Source organism: Homo sapiens, chromosome 13 (assembly GCF_000001405.40).
Source record: "Homo sapiens chromosome 13, GRCh38.p14 Primary Assembly".
Classification (NCBI taxonomy): Eukaryota; Metazoa; Chordata; class Mammalia; order Primates; family Hominidae; genus Homo; species Homo sapiens.
The window spans coordinates 76,932,485-76,947,617 of NC_000013.11; the positions used below are offsets into that span (position 1 = coordinate 76,932,485).

The window sequence follows — 15,133 nt, forward strand, 5'->3', positions numbered from 1 at the left end:
GGTCTGCGTGTGTGCATAAGTTTTGATAAATTTTAACTTTCTTTAATAGATTTGTGTATATTTTGTTGCAGTAAATGATAGACTAGTATCAACATACATTTTATGCATGCATGACATGCCTAGCTTTTCCTTAATTTTTTTCAATATTTCTAGTCTACAGGGTTTATTTGTGAGTCTTTTCAAGTTGCCATAAAACTTCAAAAAAATTCCAATATATTTATTGAAAAAAATTCACATATAAGTGGCCTTGCTCAGTTCAAACTCATGTTGTTCAAGGGTCAACTGTAAATCTTTGAAAGTTTTTCTCTTTATCCTTCTACAAGCAACATTTGGGAAAAATAAGCTAATAATAATTTCTTTAAGAGATAGGTTGCATAGAATGTCTATAACTGAAATATACATGAATAAATAAGTACATATGGATATACACTCACTCATAAGCTTCCGTGAGCTTCAGTTTCCTTATCTGTAAAATACAACCAACCATAGAACCAAAAGGTTTCAGTAAAGATTCAATGAGATTGTGCACAGTGTAAATAAAGCACTTAGCTTAGTTTCAGACACACAGTAAGCACTCAAAATTGTTATTTCTTATTAAGTTTCATACTTTTGTAGCACTTAGATTTTATATTTCAGTAATATTAAATGAAGCCATTTTCACATTTTTGGTTTGAAGTAGCAGCTTTTTTGATATTGCTTGAAGATTCTCACACACAATATCTCAGAAACTGTTGATGGATGCAAATTATTTTCTCTCACTATATGTGGACATTGATCATTCATCCTTTGACTTTCAAAATCCACACATTCTTATCAAGAATCAGGAAAAGTGACAATGCTTTCTTGAAAAATGTTATATTCTTCACAAATGTTTTAAAACTTTTTTAAAAAAACAAGCTTGATACATTTTATCTTGTCTGCTTGTCCTTTTTCCAAAATGTAAAGGTAATAGTGAAAATAGCCTTCCCAGGCCGGGCGCGGTGGCTCACGCCTGTAATCCCAACACTTTGGGAGGCCAAGGTGGGCAGATCACGAGGTCAGGAGTTCAACACCAGCCTGGCCATCATGGTGAAACCCTGTCTGTACTAAAAATACAAAAATTAGCTGGGTATGGTGGTACATGCCTGTAATCCCAGCTACTCGGGAGGCTGAGGCTAGAGAATTGCTCAAACCAGGACCCAGGAGGCAGAGGTTGCAGTGAGGCAAGATCACACCACTGCACTCCAGCCTGGGCTACAGAGCGAGATTCTGTCTCAAAAAAAAAAAAAAAAAAAAAAAAAAAAAAAAAAAAAAGGGCTTCCCTTTTTCCCACTTTTTACCGTCAGTGACCCAGAACAAACAGCTTTCATTTCTGATTTGCAAAGTATTCCTTTAAATTGAGTATATGTTTTATGTGAATCTATAGTTTTACTGATAAAAAAGGAGCCAAAACTATTTTTTAAAGTTCTTTTTTTCTTCCGGAATTAGCTGCATTGAGCATGTGCATATTAACAGTCTTTTAAATTGTTATTAATATGAAGACATTACCCTTCCTCTGTCGGAAGGACATAACGCTGAGCCATTTGGAGTGAGTTCTGACAGATTTGCCCCAAATCACCCATATCATCTTCTTACATCTTTTTTGTGGCCAGAATATAGTTTAATGCTACAACTATTTCAGATATTGCTGTCAAATAAGGTTTTCCTTTGTTTGACATTGAAAGTCCTGAATGGGATCAAGACAGGTGACCCAAACCTGTGCTTCTCAAATTTGAATGTGCATATAAATTACATTTTCAGAAACTTGTTAAACATGGATTCTGATTCTGTAGGGGCTGATTAGGGCTGTGGCCCAGGATTCTGCATATCTAGCAAGTTCCCAGGTGATGCCGACACTGCTAGTCTGGACCACATTTCAGCAGCACAGATCTAAAGCGATGGTTCTCAGCGTGTCGTCTTGGGACCAGCAGCCCAGGCATCACCTGGAAACTTATCCAAAAATGCAAATTCTCAGGGCACACCCCTGACATTCTGAATGAGAAACTTTGGGTTAAGGCCCAGTAATCTGTGTTTGCACTAGACAGCCTGAGGATTCAGATGCACAAAATGTTTGAGAACCACTGCTCTGAAAAATTAACACCCTGCTCTAAAGTAAATTTCCTGCCAACATGGACCGATTTTATTGTTTACTATTAAGACAGAAATCAAGGCTCTCTTGGGTCTGAGACATCCAGGACAGTCTGGCCATGGCTAAGTTAACTGCAGGAAAGGAGCACTTAACAAATCTGCCCACACTGGTGAGTGGGCCCTGGAAAAGCAGACCCTGCCACCAGCTCTGGCTGAAATTTCATCAGGCAGGAGCATTCCCTACATCTGAGCATATGGATGTCATTGAAACCAGCAGTCAGCAGGAGGGAAGTCTGACAGGGGTTAGTAGAGCAGTGCTGGATTGCCCAACACAGAGATAGGCATGTGCTTAAGGTACCCACTAAACAGGGACACTAAAATAATGAGAAAAAAATTTGTGAAGAATATAACATTTTTCAAGAAAACATGAAAATAGATATCATGTTGAAAATCACATTATTCGGGTTCTTCATATTAATGTTATTGGTTAGTATGACTTGGTGTAATCTCTAGAGCCAGACTGCCTGTCTCTAAGTCCTGGCTCTACCATGTAACAGCTAGATAACTTTGGAATTTACTCATCTTGCATTGCCTCAGTTTTATCATCTATAAAATGGGGATAATGGATTTTTTGTTAGAATTAAATATTACATCAGATTTGCAAAGCTCTTAGAATAATGCCTTCTATATAGTAAGTGCTTAATAAATATTTTTATTACAAGTGTGGGGAAAGAAAATAAGGGTTCCATATTTCTTTCAGTGCTTAGGGTTTTGAAAGAATTAACTGAACAAATTAACCAATAAACCAAAGAAGTTTAACACAACTTGTGAGAGATTAGACAAAAGTCAGAAATGCAAGCAGATAAGAGGAGCCATCTGAAGAGATCTATGGGTCCTAGAGAAAGACCAAGCAAGAGTAGGATAGAACTAGGGAAAGGGCAGGACTCTGCCCAAAGTCAGGTACGTATCAGAAAAAAGGAACACACCTTAAATCTCTGGGGTACACATTAGGAGATGTGTGTGTGCTGGCCACCCACAAGGATGTATCATCATCAGTAACTCTCAGAACTTAAGGCCGCACCACTGGCTCTCACCTTAGCTGCAAATGGAATCACCTGGGGAGCTTTCTAAAATACCGGTACCTGGGTTCTACCCCCAGAGTCTGTTTCATTGGTCTGGGGCATTACCTAGGCATCAGAGTTCCAAAATCTCCTCAAAGTGAGTTTATTAGTGTCCAGGGTTGAGTGTCTTGCATCTTTTAAGTTTGTCAGCATTGATCCTGGAAGTTGTGATGGGCCCAACTGCAGGTAAATGAGAAACTCAAGGATAGGAAAACACAGTCCGTGCTTATTCATCATCTCCACATTCTTTTTTTTTTTTTTTTTTTTTTTTGGAAATGGAGTCCCACTCTATCGCCCAAGCTGAAGTACAGTGGCACGATCTCAGCTCACTACAACTTCTGCCTCTTGGGTTCAAGTGATTCTCCTGCCTCAGCCTCCCAAGTAGGTGGGATTACAGGTGTGCACCACCACACCTGGCTAATGGATTTTATTTTTTTGGTGGAAACAGGGTTTTACCATGTTGCCCAGGCTGGTCTAGAGCTCCTAACCTCAAGTGATCTTCCCACCTCGGCCTCCTAGAGTGCTGGGATTACAGGCATGAGCCATCGTGCCTGGCCCAGGTTCTTTATTCTTCATATTTATGCTCTAGACTTAGTTCCTTCCAAGCTGTTGCTAGTACATAGGGTGCCTTTGTGCAATTCAGAAGCACATTTTCCTTCTTCAGGATGCTTTGTCAAGAACTGAGAACGGTCTGAGATGTTGCCCTACGTGCAAGCTAACGGGTAAGCCTATCGCAGTTTCATGGATGGTGGCAGAAGACTTGAGACTTCTTGCTTTTGGACTTGTTTTATTTTTTTAATCATCTCATTCCTCAGATGATTTCCTATTCATACTTCAACTTTTTACTAATTATTTACCCGAAGATTTTGATACTTTAAGACATGATCAACTCCATATACTACTGGGCCTAATCCTCGTTATTGGCACATTGAAGCAACATAAGCCACCTCAGAACTGAGAAATACAGATTAAACTAGCCAAATCCATGACAATGACTGAGTTGTGTACAAATGACCCATACCAAGTATTAGATGAAACAAGAGACTTCCAAGAATTGGCATGGCCTCAGGGAGACACAATGTGCCACTATGTCTGAAGATGTGCCATAACTGTTAAGCTGCCATCTTACCAGTTACAAGAACTCAAGTTTAATCTCTTGCAAGAACTATACTGAAAAGATGGCCTAACAACTATGTGCTGTCACGTGTCTGAGTGTTGCAACAACAGGTGAATGATTAGTATGGAATTTTAAAAGGGGAACAAAGACAAAGAAGGAACAGAAGCTAACTAGCATAAACTGGGGAGAATTTGTATCTGGCAAATACCAACAGAGAAGTATCTGCTATGTTGGGGCAGGGACTTCCAACTGGCTTTCCCAAGGCCTTGGTAAATGTCCCTCCAATCCTGTGACGGTTAATTTTATGTATCAACTTGACTGAGCTAAGGGATGCCCAGATAGCTGGTAAAACATTATTTCTGAGTGTGTTTGTGGGGGTGTTTCTAGAAGAGATGAGCATTTGAATCAGTAGACTGAGCAAAGAAGATCCGCCCTCACCAATGTGGGAGGGCATCATCCAAGCCATTGAGGGCCTAAATAGAACAAAATGTCAAAGGAAGAGCAAATTTGCTCTCTTCCTTCTTGAGCTGGCACTTGCATCTTCTCCTGCCCTAGGATGTTGGAGCTTCTGCTTTTCAGGCCTTCAGACTTGGACTGAATTACACCATCTTTTAGTTCTCCAACTTACATATGGCAGATTGTGGGACTTCTTGGCCTCCATAATCATGTGAGCCAATCCCCATAATAAATCTCTTATATGTTTACATATATCCTATTAGTTCTATTTCTCTGGAGAACCATGACTAATACACCCTCCCACTGCTTCATTCCAGTTCCACATTTGGCAAGCAACATTCCATGACTCATCTGGCTTCCCAGCCATGTTGCTATAGGGAAGGACCCCAGATAATGAAAGAAACTAGCCTTGCAATATAAAGGAACTAAAATGATACGTTGGCATTCTGATCTATGCATCAGACTCTCACCAGTTTGTTAGTGAGACTGTCATTTCCCCGGTGGCAGATTGCCTGTAAATCCTCAGTACTAAAGCTGGATCCAGCCATGGACATGCAGCTGACGACATGAAGGCATTTTCCCAAGAAGGCCACCTGGCCTCTCTAAACTCCCCCTCATTACTCCCTGATAGCAACTGGTCCCACCCCAGGTTTCATCCTATCCTAAGGTGAGTGCCTGAGCTGAAACTGGTCCCTAAAATTCCAGAAGTCTTTGGAGACAGGGCAATTCTAAACCCTTCAGGGAAGTCCCTGTTGTCCAATTTAGGACATGCAAGCAGAATGTCACTCTCAAGACTGAAATATTACTTCTCAACTGTTTAAAGACCAGAATGGGATGAGGACTTGGAACTGCCATATGCACCCAGGATCCATATTTATTCATTCAGCACCCAGAATGTGGTAGATAATAGATACTATAGATACAGAGGAAAATGAGATGGAACATTAACCATGGGCTGATATTGTCACAGGACTAGTTATCAGCTTTGCAGGGCTTGAGTCAATCAGTGGACCCAAAGTTGACCAGGATCTTGGGGACTCACTCTCACTAACCCAAGTTACATGAGAATGAAGAGTCAAGCAGAATTCCAATTTGTTAATTTATATTGATCAGAATTTTATCATTTCTAGTGTCTATAAGGAGTCTGCTATTAGACCGTTCTCTGTATCAAGGTGCCTGGAAAGGCAAGTTATCAATGTTCACTCGGTTAGTTAAAGGAAGAATGGATGCTGAGGGCCACCTCACACACAACACGGGAATGCCTAACTTTGATGGGTGCCTCCATGTTGAAAAACTACTATCTTTATAGCAATCCTGTCACCATGATATGAAATTTGTTTTTCTCTAGAAAATTAGCTAATACAGATGGTCACCCTAATTATCAAGTAAAGTTAGAATGAGCTGTGTGACAAATGGTGCTGTCATGTCTTCTTGAGAACTAGTTATTGTTTATCTTGACAACATGCAGGTAGTGGGTTGTATCTGCTTGGTTATATAAAAGGATGAGACTTCTGTCTTTGCCATCTCATAGAGGATTGCCTGTGATGTGCATTACATTCTGGTTTAACGCTTATTGAATAATAAATGTGTTTTCTTTCTCTGCTTTCTCAATAGAGAGGATTTCTGGGCTGGGAGGAGATTTTGTTTTTAACTGTATTTCCCTACCATCTTATTCTTCCACATGCACAGTCCTTAGCAGTGTTTCTCATGTATAAAAGATTTTCTGTTGATTTCTACCATTCCTTTTCCTATTTTCACACATCTAAGAGCAAGAAGGATTTTTTTTTTTTTTTTTAGTTTGTGGGGAAAAAGGTAATACTAATTCAAAATATAAAGCCATAGTCAGAAAGTTTGAAAATCTTTGCAAACTAGATTTTATTAATAATGTTAAACGGTGAGGGTGGGGAAATATGTTCTTAGTGGATACCAAGGGGTAAAAAAGAAGGGAAGGAGGAAGGGAGCTACATGAAGTAGGAATTCTGGAAGGCAGAACCCAAGTAGTCATACGGAAGGTACCAAGCCTTCGAAACATCACAAGAGGCTACATTAATTCTAACTCTTTTCCTAAAATTTGGAGGAAGTATTAAGATGTTGAAATGCATAGCTAATTTGCATACTTTGAATGAGTCATGACAAATATTTCAACTGACAAGAATTTTTCACATTGAAACATGATGATAGTGAGCTTTTTGTATTAGCTGTCATCCCTATAATATTCAGAGACGGTGTTATTTTGTGTAATTCACTTGGAGGGTACAGATCTCACTTACCCACTCACAAAACAAGGGTAATGTGTTGGGGTATAAATTTAAAATCCAGGAATGTGTGATTGCATTGTGCTGTAAGTTCATGCTATGTTTTCACAAAGGCTAAAAGGTTAGCAAAATAAAGATAATTTATGAGAAGCAAAATAAGAAATTGGAAAAGTACATATAGCAGAGAATCTTGTGGACCCATATGTTTTGGGCACCAGGGAGATAGACGATATCATGGCTTCTCAGTGATCTGTGTGAGGGAGCCCTCAGCACTCATTCTTTCCCTACTAACCAAGTGAGCATTGTTAACTTGCCTTCCCAGGCACCTTGATATAGAGAAGGGCCTCAAGAACACACTCCTGTACATATTAGAAATGATAAAATTCTGATCAATGTAAATTAATAAATTGGAATTCTGATTGATTCTTCATTCTCATGTGACTTGGATTACTAGAGTCAGTCCCCAAGATTCTAGTCAACTTTGGGATTGAATCAATCCCTGCAAAGCTGATAACTAGTCCTGTGAATATGTGGTCACTCGCCAAGATAAGCCCATGGGTAATGTTTCCATGGAGTCCAGACTCAGCAATCAGCTGATGGCTCTTTGTGATTCTCTCTCTCTCCTGCCCCTTCTCTCTCTCCCTTCCTTACTCCCTCTCCTCTAATTTCACAAAGCCATTTTTAGAATTCTCATTTATCACCCAGGTGATCCCTCTTTCCCATCATAAAGGTTGTAGCCAATACACCTATAACAAATGAGAAATTAGCAAGAGAAAAGCATAACAAGTACACTTGATCATAGGTTTATGTGACATGGAAGTTTTCAGGATGGAGGCCTAAAAATACAAGGGAAACTGTTCATTTTTACGCTTAGGTTCTATGACGTAGGGACAACCATTTAGAAAGGGGATTGGACAAAAAGGGTATGAGCTAATGGGAATAGACTCAGTGGGGGAAACCCAGAGAGGCCTGCATGCCCAGATTCTTCTTGGCTTCTCTGTGCAGCACTCCTTTCTCCTGGGTAGAACCGCTGTGAATGAAAGTCTTTTTTTTTTTTGAGACAGGTTCTCACTCTGTCACCCAGGCTGGAGTGCAGTGGCACGATCTCAGCTCACTGCAACCTCTGCCTCCCTGGCTCAAGCAATTCTCCCACCTCAGCATCCCGAGTAGCTAGGACTACAGGTGTGTGTCACCACCCAATTAACTTTTGTATTTTTTGTAGAGATGGGATTTCACGATGTTGCCCAGGCTGGTCTTGAACTCCTGCGCTCGAGCAATCTGCCTGCCTTGGCCTCCCAAAGTGCTGAGATTACAGGCATGAGCCACTGTGCCCAGCCTGAAACAAGAGTCTTAATTTCTTTATGGCCAGTTGTTACACAGAAATGTGGGGGAAGGTTAGAGGAATATTTTTAGGCTCTATGGCTGGCTTTAGGGAAAAGAGGTTCTAATTTCTATGCTTTGCCTCAGGGAGAATGAGGGGCGAGAGACAGGAGGGCAAAAGGTTGGAGACAGACTTTGCTTCTGAGGCTGCTTCTGAGGCTTTCATTTGAAGGTATTGTTTTCTGAGCCCCAACAACCATAAAAATACAAATGGAGAAGGGGATAAAATCACCAAGATAGCAACAAAATATCTTGCTTAATGATCTATGATTTACTAAATGGGACAGTCAAAGCCACATGAAAAAATATGAAAAGCAGGCCGGGCACAGTGGCTCATGCCTGTAATTCTAGCACTCTGGGAGGCCAAGCTCAGGAAATTCTAGCACTTTGGGAGGCCGAGCTCAGGAGTTCGAGACCTGAGCTCAGGAGTTTGAGACCAGCCTGGGCAACACGGTGAAACCCCGTCTCTAACTAACATACAAAAGAAATTAGCTGGGTGTGGTGGCACATGCCTGTAGTCCTAGCTACTCAGGAGGCTGAGGCAGGAGAATTGCTTGAACCCGGGAGGCAGAGGTTGCAGTGATCCGAGATCGCACCATTGCACTCCAGGCCTGGCAACAGAGCAAAACTCTGTCTCTAAAAAAAAGAAAGAAAGAAAAGAAAAGCAGATGATGACAGTTCTTAAGGGAATATCATCATAACTGAAGAGCCAAGCCCAATAATGCGTGGCATGCCACCGTCCCCTCTGAAAACGAAGTGACCACGGAAGTCCCACGAGACTCCAGCAGCCCTGACCACAGCCGATTGGACCCACAGCAGACACGGAATATTCTAACGTTTAGTGTAATCCAAAATGAGATGACAGAGGCAGGGTGAGAGGCTCACACCTATAATCCCAGCTACTTGGGAGGCTGACGTGGTAGGATCACTTAAGCCCAGGAGTTTGGAGTTACAGCGAGCTATGACTGTGCCACTGCACTCCAGCCTGGGAGAAAAAGACTCTGTCTCAAAAATAAATTAATTAATTAAAAAGAGATAATAGTGAGTAAACCTGAAGCTCTCTCTGTAGGTCTGTGACCTGCATATTTTTTAAATGTTAACACTGTAATATGAAAGCGTGGCTGAACAGTTAGCCTTGCTCTTTTGGCACCCTGACCAGTGCCTCTCACTTTAGCTGAGTTTAAGAGCTTCCTTAAGAAATGACCAGCAAACTCCATGATCTCCAAGCCTAAGGGTGGTCATTTTAGCTTGGGGAATTGAGGACACAGAGGCAGGTCGACAGCAGTCAGAGAAATCCTGCAGTTGAGGGTCATGTCCCAACACTACAATCTGACTTAATCTGTATTTGTCAATATATGAAAGAACAATGCAGAATCACTGGACATGAATAAAACCAACAGCATGAAAGAGAGGTGCCAAGATGAAGAAGCCTTGTAAAAGGTCCCAGAAGAAAACTTGTATTTAATATTTGAAGTAATTTTCTCAAAGACACTGAGAAGTTACAAGATTCATAAAACAAGATATTACCGGCCATGCCAATGGATATGTTAATTAAGTTCACACTTACGGGCACTAACTCCAACAGAAGCTTCCACTTTCACAATGTCTCAATAGCCAATTACATGTGATCAAATTCACTGTTTATACAGAGGACTTCACACACCACCAACCATGCAATTAATATCAACGCACAGGGAATAATCAGAGGCAGGTAACAAACCACAGCAACCGTGCTGGTGACCAATGGTTAACACACCAGTCAAGTGGGTCCTGAGTCCTTGGTAGGGTCACTGCTTCTCTCTGCTGACATCCACCAAGACAGGAGAAGGTCTCAGACTTACCCCGGGCAGAGTCTCCAAAGGCATCTCTGAGAAGGCCTGGTCTTTGCTGCTTTTATAATCCTCAGCCACTTTTCACTTTCTATTGGGTTCAGTCCAGGTCTTCGGTGGTACCTGGTGACAACAGGTGCTATTACCTCTGTCCATTACATGTATGTTTATCACATTGAGGCAGGTGCAGCTTCACTGTGGGCTTAATGCAGCTTGACATGAGTGACTCCCTTTTGAGACATTAGGATCACAAACCATTATGACATATCATAAGAAAACACTGCTATGTAAAATGTTCATCAGAGAACAAGAGTTAGTATAAAAGAAAAACATGGTTGCCAAAATAAGAAACATATTAGGAGCTGAAAAGCCAAATGAGCACAACTGAGGAACAAATTAGTGATTAGAAGACCAAGTCATACAATTCTACCAGAACACTGAATGGAAATTCTATGCAAAACTATGGAGATTATAAAACTCAAGTGGAGACAAGGAGAAAAAATCCAGAGTCATAATAATCTATATTCAGAAAGAGAAATAAAGAAGAAATGGAATCCAGAAAATTGTAGAAAATTGCTCTGAGATGAAAAAAAAGACTTGATATTCCAATAGAGTCTCTGGTTTGAAATGGGAATATCAAAAGAATGTAACTAGATTTCTGCTGTTGAGATATTTAACTATATTGCTTTTAAAGTCTGGGATAATTCTATATTTAAGTTTAAAAGAGCACAAACTACCTCAATTCCATTCTGTCTGCTAAATGTGCATAAACAATTTCTGCATGGAATATTTTTTAAAGTCTGCTGGATTTATTCAAATAAGGCATCAATCCATCTTACTCTGTTTTTAGCAGACATTTGGTACAGGGCAATACAGCCCATGGATAATCACTCAATGTTTGCTAGTTAACTAAGAAACACTAACAGTCTATTTGATGCTTATGAGAAAGCAACAAACAATAGTTTTCTTCAAGGTAGAATGATTTGGAGAATGCATCATAACCATGCTGAGCTTTCACAAATGTAAAGATTTCTTCACAATAAAATATGTTGAGACAGTCATATTTAAGCAATGCTTTTACAGCCACACAGCCATTCAATTGTACTGATTCCTCACTTTATAGTCCCTGCAACTTAATCCCTTCCTGTACGCTTAAAAAATTCCATACAAAGTTTAATAAAACAAAGGCACAATGTACATATACATACAAAATAAACACTGACTCTATGAGGCATTCTCCTAAATATTCGTTTTTAAATATAGTTTCTTAATATTTTACACCTTCCTTGTTAAAATGTGATGCTGTCGACCAGCCTGGCCAACACGGTGAAACCCCATCTCTACTAAAAATACAAAAATTAGCCAGGCGTGGTGGTGCGGGCCTGTATTCCCAACTACTCCAGAGGCTGAGGCAGGAGAATCACTTGAACCCAGGAGGTGGAAGAGGTTACAGTGAGTCAAGATGGTGCCATTGCACTCCAGCCTGGGCGACGAGAGCGAAACTCTGACAAAAAAAAAAAAAAAAAAAGAGGAAGAAAAGCAAAGAAGAGAAGAGAAGAGAAAGGAAGAGAAGAAAAGAAAAATGTGATGCTGTCCTAAGGGCTGGGAAAAATGGAACCAGAACAATGGCATATAGATAATGGCCTAAGGTGGAAACAATTTTGGTAATTGTTGATAATTGTTGCTGTTGTTATTTTAAAGAAATTAAACACAATTTGCCCCAAGTTTCATCTTTTATAAAACCATTCTCATGGTAAGTACGTTTCAATGACCCAAATGAATTAACAAAAAATTAATCGGGGAAATGAACCCTGATTGCTACCGCTGTATTTTCTCCTAAAACATTGGCTTACAATCAAATGAAACTTAATCATAACAATCCAGAGATTGACTCATCCGATGTTGCCCAATAGTGGCAAAGAAGGGCAAGTCAGAAAAAAAGGAAACTGAAATTCAAAGACTGTAATCAGCTATTTTGGACAAAATTAAACAAATTAAATGGCTTTTCTTTTTTCAAAATAGTCTCTATTCTCACATTCCTGATTTGTTGTTTCAAATATTTCCAGTTTACTCTGACAGTTCACATTCTCCCACAAGCATCCCTTATAGGGGAGCTGCTGTTATCAGGATGAAGATAAAGATCTATTCATTGTATTCTATTTGCTGGCAGACCAGCACTCCAGAACAGGATAAAAGCCACAGCCATTAAAAAATAGATTCTCGGCTCGGTGTGGTGGTTCACACCTGTAATCCCAGCACTCTGGGAGGCCGAGGTGGGCAGATCACCTGAGGTCAGGAGTTCAAAACCAGCTTGGCCAACATGGCAAAACCCTGTCTCTACTAAAAATATAAAAATTATCCAGGTGTGGTGGTGGGTTCCTGTAATCCCAGGTACTCAGGAGGCTGGGGCACAAGAATTGCTTGAACTGGGAGGCAGAGGTTGCAGTGAGCCGAGATTGTGCCACTCCACTCCTGCCTGGGTGACAGAGCAAGACTTTGTCTCAAAAAAAATAAACAATAGATTCTCCTGACACATTTCTGTTGGGGATGAGGGCATGAGTTAATATGACTGACTAATTGAAAGCATCAGGTTTGCATTAATTCATTCAACATTTACTGAGCACCACCTATGTGTGAAGTTGTGTGTGAGACCCTGGGATATTGTGATCAACAGGGTAGATCAGTTCCCTGCCTAAAAAGAATGTTCCTATCTAACAAAGGGTACAAAGAGGGGAAACTTATATCCCCTGGGAACATACAGGTAGGGCACATAACCTAAACTTAGGATGTTGTGGTGGGCTCTTCGATGTAGTTCTTCCTTTTTTTTTTTTTGTAGAGACAGTGTTTCTGGACCAAACTGAGGGTCGGGCTGCTTATTCTCATGGCCCAATAATGAGATGCAGATGAACTGGGAAAGAAGCGAGGTTTTTATTTCTGTAACCAGTTACAGGGAGAAGGCCTGGAAATTATCACCAGACCAACTCAAAATTACAAAGTTTCCCAGAGCTTATATACCTTTTAAGCGATATGTCTGTGTGTAAGTGTGCATTCATCTAAAGACATACATGATTAACTTCTTCTAATCTATGACTAAGATCTGAGTCCTGAAGACCTTCCTCTGGAGCCTCAGTAAATTTACTTAATCTAAATGCATTCAGGTGCTGGAGTGATTACCCTTAATTTGTCTGATGGAGGCAAGATCATGGAAGTCTGGAGAGTTCCTCTAGTCCCCAGTAAAGCTTGTTTGTGAAGGTCTGAGGAGTTCCTTCAGACCCACAAGAAAACTTGTTTAATCCTAAATGGGTCCTGTTAAGACTTCCTTCATTATTTTGTCATGCTATAAGACCCGGGAAAAGCCTAGGCAAAACTCTTGGTGGGCTTTTGTTGCATTCTAGCCTTTGTATGAGGGCACTGCCTCTATCAGCTTTTAACATTTAACCTAACCACTCAGTCAGTGCTGAAACAGTTGTTATGTAGGCCTGGGTTAGTGAGACCTGGCCTGCCACAATGGAGTCTCATTATGCTGCCCAGGCTGGTCTCAAACTCCTGGGCTCATGTGATTCTCCTGCCTTAGCCTCCCAAAGTGCTGGGACTACAAGCATGAGCCCAGCCCTAGATGTAACTTCCTAAAGTAAAAATTGTGTAAAACTTTAGACAGGGTTTTCTCAACTTTGGTGCTGTTAACATTTTGGGCCTGGTAATTCTTTTGTTGTTGGGGTTGTACTGTACATTGTAGAATGTTTAGCAACATACCTGGACTCTACCCATAAGATGCCACAATTTGGTGACAACCAAAATATCTCCAGACATTGCCCAATGTCCTCTGGGAACAAACTCATCCCCAGTTAAGACCACTAGCTTAGATGAAAGATAAGAAAAGGGAAGTTGTAGAGTGAAGGAGAAGAAAAAGGTAGAAGGGTAGGGAGAGAAGACATAAGAAGTAAGAGGGAATCGTTGCTACAAAGGTCCCTTAGACAATAAAAATCATGGCCCCATAATGGGTGGTGGGTGGCAGACGCTAAGCTTGATTTGAGCATGAAGAGATAACTACAGTCTTATAAGGGCCCTTATAAGTCATATTATCAGCTTGGAGCTTTATTAACTATCTATTGCTATGTGTGATGGTTATGTCAACTTAACTGGGCCACATGGTGCCCAGATAGCTGGTCCAACATTACTCTGGGTGTTTCTGTGATAATGTTTTGGATGAGTCTAACATTTAAATCAATAGATTGAGTAAAACAGATTTTCCTCCCTAAGGTGAATGGGCTTCATTTAACCAGTTGAAGACCTGAATAAAACAAAAAGGCTGACCCATCCCAGGATAAGAGGGAATTCCCCCCACCCACAAGAAAGATGGGCTTTTGCATTTTTACACAGAGCATTTTAACTCCTTTGTCCCAAACTCTTCCCTAATAGGATTGAAATGGAACCTCAAGGCTCATGGAGATTTCCTCCATAATTTAAATGCTGTCTTCTCCAAAGACAAATTCTGCCACCATATCTAGAACAACAGGTTCAGATTTGAAATCACTTGTTTTTGGTACCCACTGTAAGTGCAAACCAATTGGCCAGAAGTAGGCAATCCAGGGGAAGTGGCAATTGCCCAGAGGAGCAGAGTTAATTCCAGGCAAGCCATATCATAGTGATCGATAATAGGCAAAGAGGCCTGGACAAGCTGTGTTGAAGCAGACTCCAGCAATAGCAGGATGGCAGGGAGGAAGGCACTACATTCCAGAAGCCAGGCAGAGGATCAAGAATCAGAGATGTACAAATATGGAAAGAGCCATTCAGGAATGAGCAAGGGTACAAGCTGGGGAAAAGTTCATTAACCCCCAATGCCCTTCCAGGTTCTTAATCTCAAGTTGC

General features: G+C 40.7%; 1 long non-coding RNA gene across 2 annotated transcripts in view; it reads right to left on the reverse strand.

Moving 5' to 3' along the window:
• Positions 1-15,133, reverse strand: part of LOC105370269 (uncharacterized) — a 44,572-nt gene that overhangs the window by 329 nt on the left and 29,110 nt on the right. Inside the window, exons 2-3 of one of the 2 annotated variants that reach the window (XR_001749929.1) lie at positions 10,277-10,387; positions 435-466 (exon numbers count right to left, since the gene is read on the reverse strand). This is a non-coding gene — a long non-coding RNA (uncharacterized LOC105370269). Of the gene's footprint in view, positions 1-434; positions 467-10,276; positions 10,477-15,133 lie in introns of those variants that run through there. The other variant, XR_942104.2, reaches the window with a different exon arrangement.